The 18,859-nt window shown below is 45.7% G+C and overlaps 1 long non-coding RNA gene, 1 other non-coding gene and 1 pseudogene across 3 annotated transcripts in view; 2 read left to right on the top strand and 1 right to left on the bottom strand.

The window, feature by feature from the left end:
• The first annotated feature begins 3,356 nt into the window (after positions 1–3,356).
• MIR4432HG (MIR4432 host gene) overlaps positions 3,357–18,859 on the top strand; it is a 32,160-nt gene continuing 16,657 nt past the window's right edge. Inside the window, exons 1-2 of one of the 2 annotated variants that reach the window (NR_132991.1) lie at positions 11,696–11,788; positions 16,112–16,230. This is a non-coding gene — a long non-coding RNA (MIR4432 host gene). Of the gene's footprint in view, positions 3,427–11,695; positions 11,789–16,111; positions 16,231–18,859 lie in introns of those variants that run through there. The other variant, NR_132992.1, reaches the window with a different exon arrangement.
• MIR4432 (microRNA 4432) lies at positions 7,287–7,370 on the top strand. The gene has a single exon (NR_039631.1). It is a non-coding gene; the product is annotated as a microRNA 4432 (primary transcript).
• Positions 9,969–10,127, bottom strand: RNU1-32P (RNA, U1 small nuclear 32, pseudogene; annotated as a pseudogene).

The raw sequence follows: 18,859 nt of genomic DNA, 5'->3' as shown, positions 1-18,859 counted from the left end.
GTTTGTCTTATGTGTACAGTGGGAAATGTGAGCCTCCACAGCCTTAGCTGAATGACTAATAGTATATCCACTTCTGCCTGAGCCAAAAATGTTAAATTGGTTTAAAGATACGGTATAAAAAAGGCCAAGCTGTATCAGGCTTGGCTCAGCCTTGGAAGAGCCACAACACCAACATACTATTTTCACGGTGTGTGTGATTTCAGGCTCTGCTCCCAAGCTTCCACCACACAGGACCAGCTGAGTTAACATACTCAGTGGGTAGCCCTGGCCATCCTAGGCTGGCCTTTCCTGGGCTCCCACTGACCAGCAAGTCAAGCCCCATGCCCCCTGCCTGGCATTCAATGCCTGCAAAAAGAACTTTGCAAATGTTCCAGCCTACTTGGTCTCCTGGATTTCCTTGCACATGGCATGTTCATTTCCACCTCGGAGCCCACTTAGGTCAGTGCCTTCATCAGAAGAATTTGTTTTCCATCCATCCCTCCCAACTTCAACTATGTTGCTTTTTTAAAAAGCCATTCTTGGAGATTTTCATCTAACTGAGTTTTTCTCTCCCTGATCACTCACAGGTCCCACTGTTTGTCCCACAGATTTTTTTCCATGATGGTCTTTTTTAATTTTTAATTTTTATTATTTAGTTGTTAAATTTTACTTTAATTTCTGGGATACATGTGCAGAACGTGCAGGTTTTTTACATAGGTATACACGTACCATGGTGGTTTGCTGTACGTACCAACCTGTCATCTAGTTTTTAAGCCCCACATGCATTAGGTATTTGTCCTAATGCTCTCCCTCCCTTTGCCCCTGCCCCCTGCCCCCCTGTCTTTATGAATTAAGTGAAAAAGTGTGTATTAAGCACTTACATGTGCTCATTCCTCTGTCCGGTGCTTGAGGGGGCTCCAGAGGAACAGGAGCTGCCAGTGATTGATACACAAGGTGCTGGGTATGAGCCCTTTCCTTCCTGGCTTTATGTGATCAGCAAACATTCCTGTGACCATGAAATTCTACTAGGAAGAGCAATCCTACAGCAGCTTTTGTGCACATGCACAAGGAGACATGCAGAAGGTGCTTCTTGCAGCCTTATTTGTAAAACTGTAGAACAACTTGAATGCCCACTGAGAGGAGAAGGGATAAATAAGTTGCAGTGAATTCATATAGTAAAATCCTATAAATAGTCCTACATATAAGTTGTGGTAAAGTCATATAGTGAGTTCCTATACAGCAGTTAAGATGAATTAACTGAAGTTACATGTAATAACTCACCTAAATCTCAGCAAATTTGATGTTGAAAAAGAGTGATCAGCTGTAGAAGTGAAAGTACCATATAATACCATTTATATGAAATTTTAAGACCCACTAAACAATACTGTATATGGATATACACATATTATGTTTCAGTATTAAAATATGCATGGGAATGATATATACCAAGGTTGGCAAATTATGCCCATGGCCAAGTCCAGCCCACCACCTGCTTTTGCGTGGCTTGTGAGCTAAGAATGGGTTTTACAATTTTAAATAGTTGAAAAAAAATCAAAAGAAGGACACTCTTTGGTGACACCTGAAAATTATATGAAATTCAAATTCCAGTGTGCATAAATAAAATTTGCTGGAACACCACCACACTTGTTCTTTCACTTATCAACTATGGCTGCCTTTGTACTCCAAGGACAGGGTTGAATACTTGCCACAGACCGTGTGGCCTGCAAAGGTGCAACTACTTACCATCTGGCCCTTTTCAGAAAGTTTTCCAAGTCTTGATCTATATCAGACTTGGGGGAATGGTTGCCTCTGGTAAGGAAAGGAGAGGAATGGAACTGGGGCAGGAGTGCATCAGTTACAACATTTTATCTCTTAAGCTGCTGGTGGGTTATATATTAATACTTACATTTTGGATGTCTAAAGTATTTTGTAGTTTCAAAAAAAAGTAGAAGACAAACTTCTCACCTCCTAGAAAACCCATAGTAGGTATTATTATGGCTCCCAGTTCACAGTCAGGTATTATTATAACCTACAGTAGGTATTATTATAACCTAGCCCAACCCAGGTTGCCAAAGTTCTATCTCTCTCTCTCTCTCTCTCTCTCTCACTTTCCACGAGGCAGGCAGCCCCAGGCTCACAGGCCAGCAGCTGAGATGAGAAGACATGGGGTTTTTCAATGACTTCAGCAGACTGTACCGGGAGGATTTGGCTAACTGGGCTTGGATCACTGGCCCCTTCCTGCCGGCAGCCCTTCCTCAGATGAGAAAATTCACAGATGAGAAAGCGAAACTTAGAGGGTGCATGGATAGTGAATGCTGGAAGAGGATTAACCTCAGGACCTTCCATCCCAGCACCTCTGGAGCACTGGCCTGCGTTGCCAGTGCTCTTCAGGCCAGCTGGGGGGAAGGGACTGAATGCCAATCTGCTCTGGGATGAACATCTGCCTCCAGGAGACAGTTGTTTAATGAAATTTCCCACCCATGTGATTAGCATCCTCTGAGAGTGAGATGAGTAAAACAGGCTACCACCATCAACATCATCTCTGACTGCACTGCCTAGACAGTAATAACACCCAAGATTTTTAGAGCTTTCTGTTTCTCAAAGTCATGCCCACTGATTCACTCAGGAACCCGGCAGGAAGCAAGGCAGTCCTTGATTGCCCATGTCGTTGAGATGGTAAAAGGGGTATTCTGAGCAACTGTTGAGTTCTTTTACATCCCTGGGATGGCATGGTCACAAAGGCCAGACACCGGGCCTGACTTCAAGGTCACTGTGGCTGCACTACTGAGTGACTGTGGACAAGTCTCACATTCTCTTGAAGACTCAGGAGCCTCCTCTGTAAAGTGGAGATGATAATTATTTCCCACCGCATGGGTGTGTTGTGGGGATTAAATGAGATCATACAAGTGGAATGCTGAGCACCAGTCCAGGAAGGCGAGGGGCACGCCCTACATGTCACCTACTGGATCATTGCTGTTTTCAGGGTTCCTATTACCCAAAGATCCACCTAGAATTCTTCCCCTGAGTGCTGTTCATCTTCGTCAAGGCTCAGCAATGTTTTGGATGATTCTCCTTTGACATAGCTCTGGTGCTTGTTAATACTAAATGTTTTCCAGCTTACCTATAAGGAAACTGAGTCTTAGGAAGCAATTGCAGGGCCTCTACTTTGTGCATGAGAATGAGTGACGGCTGGGGAAACCTGGGATTTGGCCTGATGTTCAAGCACTGGCACCTGCCTGCCTTTTCTCTGTAAACATCTGACCCTAGAATGCTCCACCAGGGCGAGACCATCATCACCAAGCAGCAGCTGCATGGTATTTATCAAAGGAGGCGTGGTTTCCTTTGCTGTGGCTCTCCGCATTCGTGGCAGTTATTCATTTTTGAAGCAGAGGTCACTTTTCTTTCACTGGTGAGGTACTTTGACAAAGACGAAGAAGGGAGACAATGGTAATGATGGTGGAGTCAGGGGGAAGTGGGGATGGGATTGGCATTGGGTTTGAAGGCTGACAGTCAGAGGAAGGGGAGGGACTGAGGATAAAATACTTGCTGTGCTCATGTTGTCCAAGAGTTTGCATTCTCTGGTAGTCAGTGATCAAATGAAGCAGGGAGTTTCGTGTTCAAAAGCAGCACCTACAGGTTCTTTATAGAGGCTTGCCAGAAGATGAATGCCTTGGCTAGAATTTGTAGGCAGGCTTATTTAAGTTACAAGTGACAGACACTCAAACTAATAATAAACAAAAAGGGAATAATTGGCTCATGTAACTGGGAAGTGCAGAGGAATATGGGATACAGGAACAGCTGGATCCAGGGGTTGGCACCAGGTTGTCAGGGTTTTTTTTTTTTTTGAGACGGAGTCTCGCTCTGTTTCCCAGTTCAGTGGTGCAATCTTGGCTCACTGCAACCTCTGCCTCCTGGGTTCATGGGATTTTCCTGCCTCAGCCTCCCAAGTAGCTGGATTACAGGCGTGTGCCACTATGCCCGGCTAATTTTTGTATTTTTAGCAGAGACGGGGTTTCACCATGTTGGCCCGGCTGGTCTTGAACTCCTGACCTCAGGTGATCCACCCACCTTGGCTTCCCAAAGTGCTGGGATTACAGGTGTGAGCCACTGTGCCCGTCCCAGGTTGCCAGGGTTCTGTCTCCCTCTCCCTCTCTCACCTTCCGTGAGGCAGGAAGCCCCAGCTCACAGGCCAGCAGCTGAGATAAGAAGTCATGTCCTTTTTCAATGACATCAGCAGACTATACCAGGGAGGGTCTGGCTAACTGGGCCTGGGTCATTAGCAGCCCTGCCTCAGGAGAGGAGCTATCTACTATGCAACACAGGGCAGTACAAGCCTCGGTTCCTCCCTGTCCACCTAGTCATGAAAATGAGGATGGTTTTGGTGGTTAGCATGTTCCCTCTTAACTTGCCTCAGCATCATCTGCAAAAACTAGAAAATATAAGTGTGCATATTTTTAGCTGTTTTTAAATTTGTAAAACTGGAAACTGTTAAGATATTTACTTAGAACAAGAAAACCTACTGTGCCCTGAGTGAAGTTCACTTAAGCTGCCTCACAGTTACTCCTTGAGTCCTCACTGTCCCGCAGTCTCCTTTCCGCTGAGTTGGGGTGAGTTCTAACTTCAATTTTGCCTGTGAATGTAAATCAAATCTGACCTCCCGTCTCCAGTACATCAAGGGTGTACTCACAGGGACCTAGAAAATATTATATATGGTCCCCTAGAGCTCAAACCCAAGTTGTCTGGGGACAGAGAAGCAACTTTGGGCCATTCCAGGGAAAAGCTCTGGCCACCCTGTAGTAAATCTTCTCCCTTCCTTTCCTTTCAATGGAGGAGGAAGCTTGTCCTTTGCATGAGCATGAAAAATACTAAATTTGGACTTTTTGGAGGTTTTCATTTATGAAGTAGAGTCTATATATTTGGCTCAAGTCTTGCCGGCTGCCCTATTTTCATAGTCCCAGGATCAATATGAGGTTAGTCCATTTGTCTTCTGGAAAAATGTTGTGGCTGGGCTATGTGGCTCACACCTGTAATCCCAGCACTTTGGGAGGCCAAGGTGGGTGGATCACTTGAGATTAGGAGTTCCAGACTGGCCTGGGCAATGTGGGGACACTCTGACTCTAAAAGAAATAGAAAAATTAGGCATAATGGCACATACATTGTGGTCCTAGCTGCTTGGGAGGCTGAGCTGGCAGGATTGCTTGAGGCTGGGAGGTTGAGGCTGTAGGGAGCTGTGATTGTGCCACTGTACTCCAGTCTGTGTGACAGAGTGAGGCCCTGTCTCCAAAAAAAAAAAAAAAAGAAAAAAGAAAAAAGAAAAATGTCGTGCAGTCTTGCAGAATCTTCATGTGATCTTGCTTTGAGGCTATTAGAAAGTTCTTTCATACCCTTCCTCTGTGCTTGGCTGGAAGCCTTTTCCCCTAATTTTGGCACCTCCACCTTGAGTCACCTTGCAGTAGGTGGGAAGTGTTTTCCTTTTACAGGTTGGCCACACAACTGCCTCATCTCCTGTCCTGCACGAGGGCCACCACAGCTCTCCCCTTTCCTTTCCTTTCGTTTCGTTTCCTTTCCTTTCCTTTCCTTTCCTTTCCTTTCCTTTCCTTTCCTTTCCTTTCCTTTCCTTTCCTTTCCTTTCCTTTCCTTTCCTTTCCTTTCCTTTCCTTTCCTTTCCTTTCCTTTCCTTTCCTTTCCTTTCCTTTCCTTTCCTTTCCTTTCCTTTCCTCTCTTCTCTCTTCTCTCCTCTCCTCTCTTCTCCTTTCCTCTTCTTTTCTTTTCTTTTTGAGATGGAGTCTCATTCTGTGGCCCAGGCTGGAGTGTAGTGGCACGATCTCAGCTCATTGCAACTTCTGACTCCCAGGTTCAAGTGATTCTCCTGCCTCAGCCTCCCTAGTAGCTGGATTACAGGCATGCGCCACCATGCCCGGCAAATTTTGGTATTTGTAGTAGAGACGGGGTTTCACCATGTTGGTCAGGCTGGTCTCGAACTCATGACCTCAAGTGATCCATCTGCCTCAGCTTCTCAAAGTGCTGGGATTACAGGCGTGAGTCACCGCGCCTGGCCCAGATTGTTCTATCTCCCTCTCCCCTATCACTTTCCATGAGGCAGGCAGCCCCAGGCTCATAGGCCAGCAGCTGAGATGAGAGGACATGGCCTTCTTCAATGACATCAGCAGACTGTACTAGGGAGGGTCTGACTAACTGGGTCTGGGTCACTGGCCCCTCCTTGCCAGCAGCCCTTCCTCAGGAGAAGAGCTGTCTACTGTGCAGCACAGGGCAATACCAGCCTCAGGTCCTCTCTGTCCAAGGATTTAGTTGGCTTCAGGGAAGGCCCTTGTAATGACCTGAAGATGGAAATGAAGAGGTCAACTTCACCAGCACCAGCCACCTGTCCAGAATGTCTCAGCTTGTGTTTCTTCCTTTAAGATTCAGAAGGGTAAAAGGGAGCCACCAAACCTCATTTGGAGGGTCTGTCATTCTTTGCTGTTACTAGCCACTTCTCTGGAACACTTGTGTCCCTGTATTAGTTAGATGCTTGCAGTTTAAGGGGACTATGGCGTAATCCCATTGCTTTAGGTGATGGAGGATTATTGGAAGGACACCCTGGGAGGTGGGGAAGAACAGTAAATCTTCTCAGCAGTCACAGCTGGGCTTCACCGAGAACTGGAGTATCGTCCATGGCCATATAGGATTTGACAGGAGTTTGTGTAATCTAGTAAATAAAACCCCATGTTCCATAATCAAACTGCTGGGTTCACATTGCAACTCTGCCCTTTACCACTGTGTCACCTCTCTAGCCTCAGTTTCCTACCATCTATACAGTGGTGACAATAATAGCACTGACCATGTGGGGTTCCTTGTCAAGTTTCGGTGAGATCCTGTGCACAAGGACCTAACAGTGCCAGGCAAAAAGTTATGCTCAATGAGTATTGTTGTCAACTGTGGCTCCATGGACACTGTTATTATGAATACTTGTTATTAACAGGGGCTTTGCCCCACAAATGTAAGTCCATTTTTGTCCACTCTCGTGTTGGGGAGTTGGAGTGCTGGCTACTCTTTTCTGTTCTGTCACATGTACCATTACTCTTTGACGACAGCTCCCCATGTCTCAGTCAGATGTCCCAATAGAAGATCTGATTGGCTCTGCCAGGTGTTATCTAGTTTTGGGCAGCCCTACTGGGCATGTGGGGCCCTAATGTTCACACTGGGCCACCTTTTTGGCCTGTTTGCAGCCTATGAATTACCCCCTTGTTTGGTGGATTATGGCCAGAACAGTCTATAACTGAGAATCCCCTCAGACTCTGGGCAGAAAGGCATCTTGCAGAGCCGTTCCAATGCGACACCTCTAGAGTGTCATCCCCTAGAATGTCACCTTGGAAAGACTCTGCAAGATGCCTTGTTAACCATCATGGACCCTGTTAACCATTGTGGGCTAGCATGGTTCTACAAAGACACCTGTGCTCTGCTAGTGAGGGCCCTAACCCATCTCACCCCCTATGGATCCCTCCCTGATTCTGCTGGGATTCCTGCTCACTTTTCCTCTCACATGTTCCCAGCCTCGAGCAAAAATGAGGTATCTGTATTGGAAGCTAGAAATGCTGAGTTTTGAAGCAAATTCTTTGGGTAGGGGGTCCCCTCATAGCAATGCCTCTGGAGTAAGGGGATAAAGACAGAAGGATGACTGACAGGTTTCCTAGGGAGCCCCAGTTCTCTTAACTGAGTGTCTTTCCCCAAGATGGCCTCTCCCTCACGGGGGTAAACGGGGTGCCTGGCGTGGCTGGAGAAGTCTGCTGGTTCTCCCACTGACTAGTGAAGGAGCAGAGAGGGCAGCTCTGCACAGGTTTCTGGACTGGCCTCTTGGAGACCCTTTCGGGGGCTGCCTCTGGAAGATTCACTCCTAGGCTCTCAGAAGATCTGAGGTAGGCTGTTAGCTGAAGCTCCAGAATCCCCTTTCTTTTATTTCTTCAGCAAAGTCCCAGCCTGTTGACCTTTGGGTCCCAGTGCTGAGCCCAGCTCTAGATTTATCTACCCCTCTGGGGCCAAATGCCTGACTTGTTAGCCATGCCGAATGGTTTTATTTGTTTCTGTTGTGCATTTTTATCATTTTTGTTCATGTGCCTGGAGGCTTTCCTTAGAAAATGATGGATGCGTTTTCATAAATCAAAACATAAATGAGAAAGTATATAAAGGCAAAAAATAGACCCAAGTCTGGAATTTGCCACTAGGAGCTGCTAGCTATTTCCCAGGGAGAATGCCCTTTTTGATTTTACAATGTCAGATCCTGACTTATTTCACAGAGTACAATTTTCAGAGCACTTCCTAATACTACTGGCCACAGTAATAATGATGACAATCCCAACCGTGCCTGGTATGGTGCTGAATGCTTTTGATACATTATCACACTTAATTCTTAAAACAGTCTGAGGAGCCAGGTTCTTTCACTATCCCCATTGTAAAGATGAGTAAAGAGAGGTCCAAATGATTTTGTTACTTAACCAAGTTCCCATCTTTGGTAAAAAGTGGGATTAAAATGCAGGTTTCTCATGTTCTCGACGGACAGATACCTTGGACTCCCTTTTCATTGCTTGCCGGAGGTGTGTAAGGGTGGTGGGTTGTAGCTTCTCCTGCCAGCTCTGCTGGAAAGCAGGTGGCTGGGAGTGGTAGGGGCAGCTTTTAGTTGGAGGGGCTCATAGAGAGAGTCTGTTCTCATCAGCTCTGTTCACAGAGTGCCCCTGAGCAGAACACCAGCTTTGCTGGGTGGCACATTAGCGCAGTGCCTAATGCCACGACGCCTTAGACAATGTCACTGTCACCACTAGCAGGAACCTGCCCCCTCCACTCTGCAACTTTCCTGTTTCATCACCCTTGAGCTATGAGGGTGTCCTCTAGCTATGAGCCAGAGGGTGTCCTCTAGGACCTAGCCACAGGGTAGGAGTCTGATACAAACCAGAAGACAACTGGTGAGAATTCCACGTATTTCCTTTATTAGTCACAAATCCACTGGTTGTACGTGGTAGAATTATCACTGGGACCAGCTTAAGAAGAAAGGAGGGCTGGGTGTTTATTGGTTCATGTGATCAGAGCATAAAATGCTTTTTTTTTTTTTTTTTTTTCCTGTTGGGGAAAATCCTAGTTTCCCTGTTCAGTCTCATGCCAATCCTTGGGCCAATCAGAGGGAGGGGGAAACTGTCCAGTTCAGTTCATGAGCCCTTTTCTCTGGCAGAAGGATGGGTAACTATGATTTTTTTTGTGCTAGAACTGCAAAATCAGAGTTAGGGGGCAAGATGCCCACGAAAGAGGAGGCTGCTCTTCTTGTAGACAGTTTGGTAAATGTCTAGGACATTTTCTATTGCTTTTCTTCTATACCTCCCTTCTTTGTCTGGGATATCATACACCTGGCCTGAGTCAAGGTGCTGACATAAGTCTCTGGTGAACTGCTGAACAGTTCCACTCCTTGTTCTTTCCAGGGTGCCCCATCCCATCTTAGGGCATCTAGGCTCAGATCCTGTCCTTTGCTCAGGCTTGGAGACCTCAAGTGATGTCACTAGGAACTATCCAGGATTGTAGAGGGGCTTTCAGCCCACAGAGTTTCTAACTGGCCACATTTGGAATTTTCCATTTAGCAGGACTTTCCCTCTGTGAACATCTGGTAGGATCCAAATCCTATCCCAATTCTGTGTTCTTTTTCAGACTTTCTGAACACTAAAAACATCTGTAGTTTTGCGAAAGGTTCTTTCACAATTTTATGATTGTAAATAGGCTAATTAGCCCAATCACTTGTTATTTTGTCATCTGCGTGGCACCACCTGGCCCTGGAGTATGTATCTCTCTGAGTACTAGGCAACGAGCAGAGCAGATGACCACCCTGACGAGACTTTGAATTAGGAATCTCATGACCCTGCCTTGGAACTCTGGCAGGGAAGTCCTCTCCTTCTTGATAGGAAAGGATGAAGGTTTGGGCACTTTCTAAAACAAATTTTTATTATTATTATTTTTAAAGCATGAATGCAGTTCCCCACTACCACAAATTATGCAGTCAGGTTTCCCACATTTGGGGAAATTGCAGGGGGTCAGCACATCCAGTGTGAAATGGATAAGCCTCATCCTCGGAAAACCACCTTTGCGGTCATGGTATCTCCCCTGCCAGTAAGTATATCTGAGAAAAATATTTTTAACAACAACTTAAAAAAGAAAACAAAACAAATTTCTGGTAACTACCATGTAACTCCATGGTAAATGATTCTCTCTCTGCTTCCTACCAGGTGACCCCAGTACCCAATGGTCTATCAGGTACTCGGTTCTGCCCAAGAAGCAATTCGGAGCTTTGCTAGGTTCCTTCTTGTAGTGTTCCAATCTGTCTTTCGCACTTGATCTTGTCTCTTCGGAGATGTCATAAACTCTCTAAGGACGGGAAGCCTATCTCCTATTTCTCTTTGTTAGGCATATGGTAGGCATTGATAAGTCTTCCTTGGCTAGGGAGCTATAATTGTAAGAGTGTGTGTGTGTGTGTGTGTGTGTGTGTGTGTGTGTGTGTTTTGGGGGGGGGACAGGGTTGGCAACTACAAGCAAATACTCTGAGATCCCTCTAGCCCTGATCTATTGGGAATACCTAAATCATATGTATGCAAGTTTTAATTCTTGGGTGAGGGGCTGTTTCCTAACTCTGCTGATTTCTAACTGCCCCTTTCCTGTAATTGCTGGGTCAATGCAAGTTCTCAGCTGCGCATTGGAAATGCCACTGCTTTCCATCACAGTGATGAATTTACATGGGAAAAACCTGAGGCCAAAGAGTTCTGGCTCTTACTCAGAGCCTTCCTACCAGTCACCTCCCAAAGTAAAAGAATAGTAACATACCTGACCTGTTCTTCTGGCTTCTCTAAAGCCAAATTCCAGCCTTGGTTAGGTTTCTGTTCATTTGGAAAATATCTGTATGAAATGTAGGTGCATGTCATGGAGGGGGCAGTGGGGAGTGAGTGAAGTGAGTCAGAAGGGAAGAGGAGAGCTCTCTCCCCCTGACCCTGCCGCCGCCTGCTTTCTTCCAGTGAGTCTAGATGGATTTTTGGGATCTGATGTGGCTGCATAAAGACGTGTCTCTGAAAAAGCAAAATGTCAGTGTTTTGAGGCCTTTCCGTTGGGGAGGGAGGGAACACGGTGGTCACTGGTTGTTCTCCTTAGGCCAGACAGGAGGAAAGGGAAGTATGTGTGAGTCTCTGATAATTCTCTTCTTTTTCTTTCCCTCACTTTTGTTCTTCAATAAATCACTCAGGACAATCTGCTTCTTCTTAGTGGTGTGTTTTCCTAGGGTTCAGCCTTTGTTTGAAATTCTAGAACAACAGAGTTGCAGTAAATATGGTCAACCTACGTGTAATTATGCTGGTATGTCAACTTTGCCCCGCAGAGTTGGGTCTGCTCTGGTTAAACAGAGGCCCCCCTGACTCAGAAACAAGACCTCCTGCAGGACCCTGTGGAGGGCCGACCCCAATCCCTGTGTCTGAAGGGGGTAAGACAGCCCATAATTACGCTCATTGTTTAGGTCGGAGCACAGGAGGGTTTACATTAAAGACCTCAGCTGGCACACACAGCATGCCTATGGAAAAAATGAACCGCTCTCCTCCGCCCGCTTCCCGGTCCCAGCGTTGCCTGTCCAAGGGCTTTGGGTTTCACAGACGCCTTCTGTGACTCCACGTTCTGACCACTCCTGATTAGAAGCTTGGCTTCCCCCAGTTCTAAGAGATGTCTCAATCCAGAGGTTTGGAAATTGAGCCTTTCAAGAATCACAGCGTGTAGGTCTTGGGAAGGACCTAGAGATGATGCTGTAAGTTGGTGTCTCTTAAACTTTCATGCTCACAGGAATCACTTGGAGTTCTTGTCAAAATGCAGATCTAAATGTGGTAGTCTTGAGGTGGGGCTGGAAAGTCTGCATTTCCAGAAAGCACCCTGGTAATGCCCTGTGCTGGTCATTGGACCCCACTTGGAGCATCAAGATTCTAAGCTAAGCCTTTCATTTCACAAAGAATAAAAGGGAAACCCGGAGACCTGGAAGAGCTTGTTGGGGCAGAGTAAGGACTTGAGTCTTCCTCTTGTCATGGTGTTGTCCTGGCCCTGCACAGATGCTCCTGGCAGGGATGGTGTGTGTCTTAGCAGAGATGGTGGTCCCTTCTGGAACCACACCTAGAATCCAGGAGCAGGTGGCTTTTCCCCAGATGCTCTGGAGTGGATTGGATCCCCAGAGCTCTTGATGTGAGCCCGCAGGCTTCAGTAGTTGAGAAACTGGATGATAGTAGACCACTCACTATAAGATCCTGCCTGGAATCTTCAAAGGGGGCACAGGAAAGGAGGGCCTATTGAACATGCTGTGTATTGAGAGATGTGTGTGTCAGCAAACCCCAGGCTACTGATGCGACATTTTGGATAGGCAAGTGAGATTTGGAGGGGAGAATATGTGGCATCACGATAGAGGGGAATGGATTTTTTTAGTAGAAATCAAGGATCAGGTTGGGTGCGGTGGCTCAGGTCTGTAATCCTAGCACTTTGGGAGGCAAAGGCGGGTGGATCATCTGAGGTCAGGAGTTCGAGACCAGCTTGGCAAACATGGTGAAACCCCCTCTCTACTAAAAATACAAAAAATAGGCGTGGCGGCGTGCGCCTGTAATCCCAGCTACTAGGGGGTGCTGAGGCGGGAGAATTGCTTGAACCTGGGAGGCGGAGGTTGCAGTGAGCTGAGATTGCACCACTGCACTCCAGCCTGGGCGACAGAGACTCCATCTCAAAAAACAAAAACAAAAACAAAAACAAAAACAAAAACAAAACGAAAATCAGGATCACAGACTTTTTTCCAGTCTACCTCTATGGGATCTTGGACAACCTTTCTAGACCCTCTCAGTACAGTCTCATATGTTATGTGCTTGAACCCAGGTACTAGGGCACGTGCTCTTTTGAAGTTTATTTCCACTCTAAAATTCAAATTGTGGATATTATCTCTTTTTCTCTCTCTAATTCTCTTGCTCCTCTGTCTATCTTTTTCTATTTTTATCTGTGTCGTGGCACTTTGGTGTTATATATACAGTTGTGTACTGAAGAATTGACCAAAAGAGGGGTCTGGCCTTTGCCCTTGGCTCCTGGGAGGCAATCTCTAGGCCCCTGAAGTGTCCAGCCCGATGTCTTTGTTTGTCTGGGGGCTTTGGCAACTGGACAGTCCAATAGTGTGTTTCATAATGGGGGCTTTGGGACACACCATATCAGTTCTAACCTCCATGGGAACTAGAGGCATAAGGTATTGGCCTGAGCCTCCACTGAGGGCTGGAGACTGAAAGTCAACCATGTGGACATTATGTGACTAAGCCCCAAGGAAAACTCTGGACACTAAAGGCTTGGGTGAGCATCCTTTGTTCACAATACTCTGTGTGCATTGTCTCACACTGTGGCCAGGAGGAGGCAACACCATCCACGACTCTATGGGGAGAGGAAACTCAGAAGCTTTGCCTTTAGACCCCTCCTGGATTCCGCCCTACGTGTCTCTTCTCTTTGCAGATTTAAATGTGTATCCTTTTCCTATAATAAAATCACAAGCATAGCGCCTTCCAGAGTTCTCTGAATCATTCTAGTGAATTATCAAACCTGAGGGTATTTGTGTGAATCTCCCAAATTAGTAGCCAGCTGATGTGTCATGAGGATGGCATGGATACCCCCAAACTTGCAGCTAGTGTTTGAAATGAGGGAAGCCTTGTGAGGATTCTCCTTTCAATCTTTGTAGTTGACTGAACTCTTAACAATAGCAGTACATCAATTTAGCAAGTATTCTGGGGAAAACAAAGAAATACATCAATTCCTTTAACCAAAGCCTGCCTGGTTGTAGAGTGGATTAAAGAGTCTAGGCTAGAGTCTAGTGGATTAAAAGCCTGAACTTTGCAGAAAGACAGCCCCACAGATGGAGCTGGGCCTTAGTACTTTCTGGTTGAGGTGGGCATGTTACTTAAATTCCCGAGCCTCAGTTCCCCATCTGTAAAGCATACTTACCTCGAAGGTGTGTTGAGAGAGTGACATGAAATCAGCTATGTAAAGCACAGGGCATACAGGAGCATTCCACACATGGTCACTGTTGTGGTTACTGTTATCATTATTGCTTCTGGCTTTGTTGTTGGTGTGATTTCCATGTTTACCTACCTACTGATATATGAATTACTACTTTGCCTTCTTCAAAATAGTACTTGACTGACTCAGACAGATGGAAGTAAGATAGCCTGATACAATAAACTACCAAGAAGTAGGAAATAAGTATTGGGTAAATGGCAGTGGCTGCTGAGGGAGAAGTGGGGGTCCTCTCTCAGAGTCTCTGGGAGGCTGGGTCTGGCTAAGGGAAAGGTTGCAAGATTGAGCCTCGCTAAGATTGGGAGAGCTGCCGCTTGAGACACGATGACATGTCTTTATATCAGAAGTAGGGGTAATCTTGTAGGGGCCAAAATGTGAGGAGAACAGCAGCTGGCCTGGCCTGGAGGAGTTGAGAGCCAGGCTGTGCATCTCCGGACTAACCCATCCATCTTTATGTCTTCCATAGATTTCTGTTTGGTAAGCAGAGTGGTCATTAATACAGGTGTGCACTGTGCCATAAAGAGCTAGGGGAGAGAGGAAAGGTGGCATTTGGTTTTGGGAACCTTCCATCTCCCTATCCTTTCCCTTCATTTTGTCATTTTGGGTATTGCCAAGTCTCTACAGAGGCTCATTTCCATTTTCTGCTAATTCGTTACTTGAGAACTAAGATATTTACTGATAATGGTTCTAGACATTGCCCTTCCAAGATTTGTATTTTAATGAGAGGGAGGAGTCTCTTTATGAGCCAAAAGAATAAAACTGTAGTGATAAGATATGGTGATAAACTTCATTGATAAAAGGAAAGTGAAACTTAAAACATTAACCTCACAAGGCTGGGTGCAGTGGCTCATGCCTATAATCCCAGCACTTTGAGGGGCTGAGGCTGGAGGATCTCTTGAGGTCAGGAGTTTGAGACCAGCCTGGGCAACATGGTGAGACCCTGTTTCTACAAAAAATACACAAATTAGCCAGGTGTGGTGGTGCACGCCTGTGGTCCCCGCTGTCTTAGCTACTTGGGAAGCTGATGTGGGAGGATTGCTTGGGCCTGGGAGGCAGAAGTTGTAGTGAGCCGAGATTGAGCCACTGCACTCAAGCCTGGGCGACAGAGTGAGACCTTGTTAAAAAAAAAAAAAAAATTAACCCTACAAAACGACAAAACTCCTATCCTCAAACCCTCCAGTCAAATCCTAGAGAACTGCTGCTTGTGAAGTTCTTACTAAGCTCTCTGGAGTCCGCAGTTAGGAGCAGAGTCCTGAATCAGATGCCCGTACCTGAATCATGGCTCTGACACTGATAAGCAGGTCCCTGAGCCTTTCTGTGTCTTAATTTTTTTTATCTGTAAGATAAACAATAAAATAACAATAGTGACTATCTCATAGGGTTGTTGGGAGAAATAAATGACTTACTAACATAAAATATATTGGCACGGTGGCTCACGCCTGTAAAATCCTAGCACTTTGGGAGGCCGAGGCAGGCAGATCACTTGAGGTCAGGAGTTTGAGACCAGCCTGGCCAACATGATGAAACCCCATCTCTACTAAAAATACAAAAATTTGCCGGATGTGGTGGCAGGCGCCTGTAATCCCAGCTACTTAGGAGGCTGAGGCAGGAGAATTGCTTGAACCCAGGAGATGGAGGTTGCAGTGAGCCGAGATCGCGCCACTGCACTCCAGCCTGGGTGACATCTCGAAAAAAAAAAAAAGAAAAAGCCATTATCTTTTGGGGGTCAGTGGTGTTTTAGTAAAAAAATCAAACAAAAACACTGTATTAGGGCAGTTCAGTGTTTTGATCACATAATACTTGGATTGCACAAGTTGACCACTGGCATCTTAGGGTCTCTCAGAGTTTTAACCAGTGGGCCAGGAATCAGGCAAACAGATAAAAACGTGGAAAACAATGTCTTTTTGTGATTCACCATGTCTGATTAGCAGTGGGAATGTGCATGGAACAGATCCTGTTTGGTTAAATAATAAAAACCAACAGTCTCTTGCATTTGGTAATAATATATTTGAAGTACTGGGGATGAGCAGTTTCTGGTTTGATGGTCTAGGTCTAGATTTCCCCAGCCTTCTCTTTGAACTTGACCTTCAACCGCTGGATCTTGAACCAGAAAACAGTTGAAAGGACATAGTGGAGACAGCGTGGGATCAAGCATGAAGACTGAGCTATGTGAGTCTGGATCAATCAGAACTTTTGTGAGCCTCAGTTTCTATCTCTCTAAAATGAATACCATAAAACTTTCTTCACAGGGCTGTTAGAAGAACTAAATGAGATGATGCATTTGGAATGTTTTGGAAATGATTAAGGATAGTGCAAATGTCCATTATTGTTTTGTTTTTGAAATGTATTGACTCCTGTCATTGCTCCTAGAAGGAGGCCCAGACAGGTTCAAACCCTTGCCCAGGATGAAATAGAGGGAGGATGTGATATGCTTTAGGGCTACTGTTGGCTGAGCTTAGCAATCACCTCTCACCCTTGTCCAGCATGTGGGTCTGCTTGCCTTCTGATCAGGAGCAGACGTCTGTCTTCAGTCTGAGTTTTCTGTCTGCTTGGCTGAACTGTAAGGATCTGTGCTACGTGTTGGATTAGGTTCCATTCTGTGTTCCATCACTGATTAATTTTGTGACTCAGTTAAGTCATGGAGGTCCAGTGTTTTCATGGATTGGGCAGCTCTGGTTCTACCTGTCTCAAAGAGAATTTGGAAAATAAAGACAACTAAAGGATTCAAAGTAAAAGCACTCCTTGTCAGGTTTTTCCACTCTGGAAGCAGGATAGCATCATGATTAAGTACACAGACTCCTGGGTTGCTGATTGCAGGTCGCTTAGCACTCTGGGCCTCAGTTTTCTCATCTATAAATTGAGAATAACAATAGTAAACTGGGGTAATTGTAAGGATGAAGTGACTTAATCATGTGAAGGGCTTCATTATAGTTCCTGGTCCGGGTCAGTGCTCTGCAGGTGTTAGCTACTGTGATGTAGGACATATACTGTATCCCCACTTTGAATGCAAGATTTCTGCAGGAGAAATAGGTGCAGAGGTGTTTGGGACCCTTTGGTCCTTGTTTTTCTGTAGTATTTTCCTGTAAGTCACTGGCAAGTGGAAAATTGGCCAAGCATTACCAATCTTTGTTAAAAAGTGTGGAAAAAAGGTGTTTAAAGATAAATCCCCTAAATAACAACCCTTCCCTGACCATCTTTTCCTAGAGCCTCAAAAGCAGTTTTGTATTTATATGAAGCTACCGGGAAAAAGGCCCCTGTGTTTGAGTTAACACATACAATAATTTATTCTGTGCTAGTTGCACCATTACAATTGAAATCTCTCATATTCTAGAATGGATGGACAAGGTCATGCTGCTAGGTTGGTCAGTTAGTTCTACTTTTTGTTTACAAAGTTTGTGTTCCCAAGTGCTGCAGGAGGCACTGTCTATTCTCTGACCTGCTCTGCAAAGTTTAGTGCAGACAGGCAGCGTCCCATTTTGTAGAGCAGGAGCCCAAGACCCTGAGGTACGTTTATTGGCCATTTTCACCATGAGTACTGATAATGATGGTGTTATTTTGAGATTAGTAAGGACAATTTTGAACACTTCTTGCTGGATAGAAATCCTCCGTGAAGGAACTTGGGAAGGTTTCCTAGGAAAGCACACTGGCCTAGGCCTGGTTTAGGAAGGTTTCAGTGGATGTTCATTATGATTGTTTGCAGGAAAACAAAATCGATGTGATACTTTGAACATGTCACCCAAAGACTACCAATGTTGACCCCAGACACTTGGGATCTCAGCTCTTGGCTGGAGCTGGGCATTCTTGCTGAGTCCAGAAGGAAAGAAAACAGCCAGGTGAGCAGGGCACCAGGAGCTCCGGGTCTGTGTGGCTGCTGGCTGTGGCACAGGGCTGAGAGCATGCACCTTGGGAGGTTTGTGCCTGATGCAACAATGAGGTTTCCAAGAAAGCTTTCCATTGCTCTATTATTGTTTATAAAGAAAAGAAAGTTTTTGTTTTTTTCTTTCCAAACACACAGGTAGAATTTGTCCAGTAGAACTCAACAACCTGGGCCAAAGAGGAGGGAAAGGAAAGTCATTTCTTATTGTCTTATTGGCGATTGTAATTGTGGTTCTGAGGCTGGCGTTGCCCAGGATATGGCATAGTGCAACATTCTAGGAAGTTGTGGGGACATTTGGTATTAGCCTTGCCATTCAGATCCAGGAGCTGTGTCAACACTGGGGTGGTGACATCCTCTTATCTGTTCACTTAACAAGTTTCCTTCCTACCCCATTTACTCCTCATTCTTTCTGGAAGAGATGCTATTTTCTGAGAAAATGTTTTGAAACATCTGAGAATTCAGTGGTAGAGGCTGTGGTGGGCATCCCAGATCCCCGCTTCAAGACCAAGGCATCCATTGTGCTAGCTGCCCAGGGAGAATCAGCTGCTGATGGTCCACAGCTGGTCTTTCTCTAGAACCAGCCCTGGCAGAAGGCAGTGGCCTTACCCAATCTTACTCCCATTCTTCCGGGGGACCCTGCAGCCAATTAGTTGACTTAGGAATAGAAAAGCTGGGCTCCCTTGCTGTAACTTGGAACAGCTCAGAAGGGCAACCCACCTCCAGAGCTCCCCAAGGGAAGAAGGAAGCTTCTGTTACAACCGCACCACACTTCAACTTCCTCACCTGCCTCCTCCTGCTTTCCCTTTTCCCTGACAGGGGTTGTTCCTGAGTGTTTCCCAAATTGCTCTGTACCACAATCTCTGACACAGAGTCTGGTTCCAGGGAATTTGATGTAAAGTAAGTCCCTTGGCACCATGACTA

Source organism: Homo sapiens, chromosome 2 (genome assembly GCF_000001405.40).
Source record: "Homo sapiens chromosome 2, GRCh38.p14 Primary Assembly".
NCBI classification, from domain to species: Eukaryota; Metazoa; Chordata; class Mammalia; order Primates; family Hominidae; genus Homo; species Homo sapiens.
Note: the sequence above shows the minus strand (reverse complement) of the source record. Positions and strands in the feature narration are given on the sequence as shown.